This window comes from Homo sapiens, chromosome 20 (assembly GCF_000001405.40).
Source record: "Homo sapiens chromosome 20, GRCh38.p14 Primary Assembly".
Taxonomy (NCBI): Eukaryota; Metazoa; Chordata; class Mammalia; order Primates; family Hominidae; genus Homo; species Homo sapiens.
Genome location: NC_000020.11, coordinates 6,368,380 through 6,372,037, shown reverse-complemented (window position 1 = coordinate 6,372,037; position 3,658 = coordinate 6,368,380). Strand labels below are relative to the sequence as shown.

The following is a 3,658-nucleotide window of genomic DNA, read 5'->3' as shown; positions in this document are numbered from 1 at the left end:
ATGACAGCATAACTCCAGTCTTCACATGGCATTCTCCCGTGTGTGTGTGTGTGTGTGTGTGTGTGTGTGTGCGCGCGTGTGTGTGTGTCCAAATGCCCCCTTTTTATAAAGATACCAGTCATAACGGATTAGAGGCACACTCTACTCCAGCATGACCTCATCTTAATTAATTATAACAACTCCGTTTGCAAATAAAGTAACATTCTTAGGTACTAGAGGTTAGGAGTTCAATATTTGAATACAGGGGGTCAGAGAACACAATCTCTCCTATAACATGTAACTATGCAATCATATTAGTGTTTTTACCCAAGAGTTTTGGCTTCTTCTCTAGATCTGTTCCTACTATACATCCTTCTGCCTCAAGTCTGTGACCCATTATTTGATTGTAACCCCATGTTTAGCCTTAATTAGAATAACTTAACTATGTCAATTCTAAGTTAGGGCCCAAACCAGTCCTTCTTCTGAGTGATGGTAGACCTACCTCTGGCAGAGACACAATGCAAAGACTCCTCCCATTTGGAGCTTCCATCTCGGTTTGGTCATTTTCTGGTCAAACACTGAGCAGAGAAACCATCTTCCTGAAGATAAAAAGCTTTATTCTTGGAGGTATGGAAGCAGAGGGAATGAGCTCTATAGAACGTCTTTGGCAAAATATTTGCTTTGTTTGTTGATGTTTCAATAACATCAACTATAATGTACATAAAATGTTTTATTAAGAAAAAAATATGAACTTTGAAGGACCATGCAGAAGAGTAGATTCATATTCCAATATGTTGAATATTGAAAGAAAGGGAACATAGGCATGAATCATCATTGTTTCTGGCTACTCATCAAAAGGTCAAATGAAGTCACTGGAGGCACACCTGTGCAGAGGTGCACCATTAAAACTTCTCTCTGGAGAGAAATGCTAGGGAGGTATATCAACAAGTCTTAGGAGAGTAGGCAGCAGATTTGCTATGGATCACTAGTGGGTAAACAAGAAGGCATGTGTGCACATGATAGTCATTAAATGACAGGCAAGAGTTACATTTACAAGTGAAATGATAAAGTGGCCCCCTCTAGTAGATGATGTCTGTGTCCATTCCCAGCAGCCTTCACTTGGTCCTACTCTCCAGCCGAGTGTTTTCCTGACCCCGGTTTAGACTAACATCTCATGCCGCCATCCAGGCCAGAGAGTTGCTTCAGTATCAAGGTGATGTCACAGGTGCCTGACAATTAGGCCACCTATTAACGTGTGCCTGTCTTGAACTTCCTGACCCATCATTTGTCCCTGACCTCTGGAAACAGTTCACACCTTGCTCCCACTTGCCTGCCCAACCTGCTGGCTGAGCTAACCTAGGCCTTTGATCTTCAACACTGTGTTCTTACAACTTGAAGTTTGGTTTCAAAGCTGGACTTCCAGCAGACTAGCCACGCACGTAGAAATAAATGTCATATACTACTTCTTCAAGACTTTAAAGAACAGTCTCAGGAATTAACCTTCTATGTACGTATCCACACCTACAAATAATCAGTACACCAAATTGTGTTTTATAGATGGGATAGATTGGTTGCATTAATGGTTCCAATTCTTCACACCTCCCTGTATCCACACCCTTTGTAACATTGTACTGCAACTCCCACTCTGGCTCTGAGCTGGCCAAGTGTCTTGATGTGGCCCAGGGGATGTTGGCAGACATGCTACAGAGGCTCGAAAAAGCACTTGCATGTTTCTACTCTTGCTCTTATTCCTCTGCCATTGCCATGAGAACATTCCTGGGTTAACCTGCTAGAAGGTGACACACAGAGAGAAGATCTGAGCTGTCCTGTGCTACTCATCCCTGCTGAGGCCATCCCAGGTCAGACACAACCCACAGACCCCCAGGCATGTGGGCAAGTACAGCCAAAACCTGAGGAACCACCCAGCCGATCTGCAGATTTAATGTATCTCATCTGGGGACACAAGTTTTAGATGGCTTGTTATTAACACAATAGCTTACAAAATATCTTATTACACACAATCCCATTCCACAGTAATAAATCCACCAGAACATAAACTCCATGAGAGAACATTCTTTTCTGTTCTGCTCATTGATGTTTCCAAAGTACCTAGGGCAGTGCCTGATACATTGTAGGCTTTTAATAAACATTTATTGAATTAAGGAAAAAATGAAGAAAAATAATAGTGGTATTAGTAATAACAATAGGCACAATTTATGTAGACTTTATTATGTCCTAAGCACTCTTCTATGTTTTTAATAAACTGTTTCATCTTATTCTTTTCTCAACACTGTAAAGTAGCTATTATTTATTCTATTTTAAAAATGAGTGAATTGAGGTTTAATGTGATTAAGCAACTTGCTCAAGATCATATATCTCAAAAGTAGCATATGCAGCACTCAAATTCAGGACCACTTCAATTCAAACTCCATATTATGCAAAGAAAATGCAGGGGATTGAAATATTAAAGCTATTTCATAGGTACAGCTAGAGAATTTGAGTGACTTGACCAAATTTTAAAGCAATAGATCACAAACTGGTCCCACAACCTTCTATACCCAGTTTCTTCTCAATAATCATAAAATTTGGAGTGAAATAGTATAATTCTGAGCATTCCTTACAAGAATATAGAGTTATGATCAGAGAATTTGATGAAAGCAAAATTAATAAAATAAGGCATATACAAAGTAGTTTTTGTACAGGCTAAAGCAAGACATCCATATAAACCTTAACTGATATTGTTAATAAAAGTAACAAGGAAGAAAGACTGGATCCAGGTGGAAATGAGGATACTTGTCTTCTAATTTTCCTCCTACAATGACAAAACCGAGATTTTAAGGAATGTAAATGAATAACAGCAGAAATAACCAATCAAAAAGGGTCTAAGGATGTATTAGTCAGGGTTCTGCAGGGAAACAGAACCAATAGAATGAGTGTGTGTGTGTGTGTGTGTGTGTGTGTGTGTGTACGTATGTGTCTAGGGAAAGAGGGAGAGAGATTGATTATATGCAATTAGTCACATAATTATGGATACTAGTAAGTCCAAAAGCTGCAGCATGGGCTGGCAGGCTGGAGCTGGAGGACAGCCCGGGAAGGTAAATACAGTTCCTCGCTAAAGGCAGTTGGCTGGAGAATACCTTCCTGCGAAAGGATGCCAATCATTTTGTTCTAGTCAGGCAATCAATTGATTGGATGAGCCCCACCCATATTATAGAGAGCTACTTACTCAAAGTTCACCAATTTAAATGTTCATCTCACCCGAAAATACCCTGTAAGTTAACATATAAAGTTAACCATTACAAGGAGGTAAATATTAAGTGAGAAGTTCTGAAGAATTACTAAAAAGGAAAAGGACTAGAAGGACAAAGAAGCATAAGAAAGGAAAAACACTGCCCAAATTATACGAAAGACATCATTAAAGAGAACCCATAGCATTCATCGAGGCCATTAACTAAAGGCAAGCTATTGAAAGAGCTGGATCAGTCGGACTCATCTCCCTCCCTCCCCTATACACATTAAGGGTTCACCTCCTGGCCTTGGGGATCACATTCTAAACAAACTGAACCCTGGTAAGGGATCTTAGTGTGAATATTGGGTCTGAAAATAAAGGTGCTAAATTACTTCAGACCTTTACAAAGACATATAGTTGCTTATAGTAGCCTCTAATGATCCTTTGAAT

The 3,658-nt window shown here is 39.7% G+C and overlaps 1 long non-coding RNA gene across 1 annotated transcript; it reads right to left on the bottom strand.

Moving 5' to 3' along the window:
* Positions 1 to 2,168: 2,168 nt before the first annotated feature.
* LOC124904866 (uncharacterized) lies at positions 2,169 to 3,296 on the bottom strand. The gene is made up of 2 exons (XR_007067513.1): positions 3,206 to 3,296; positions 2,169 to 2,791 (listed from the first exon to the last, which is right to left on the bottom strand). It is a non-coding gene; the product is annotated as an uncharacterized LOC124904866 (long non-coding RNA).
* Positions 3,297 to 3,658: the final 362 nt, after the last annotated feature.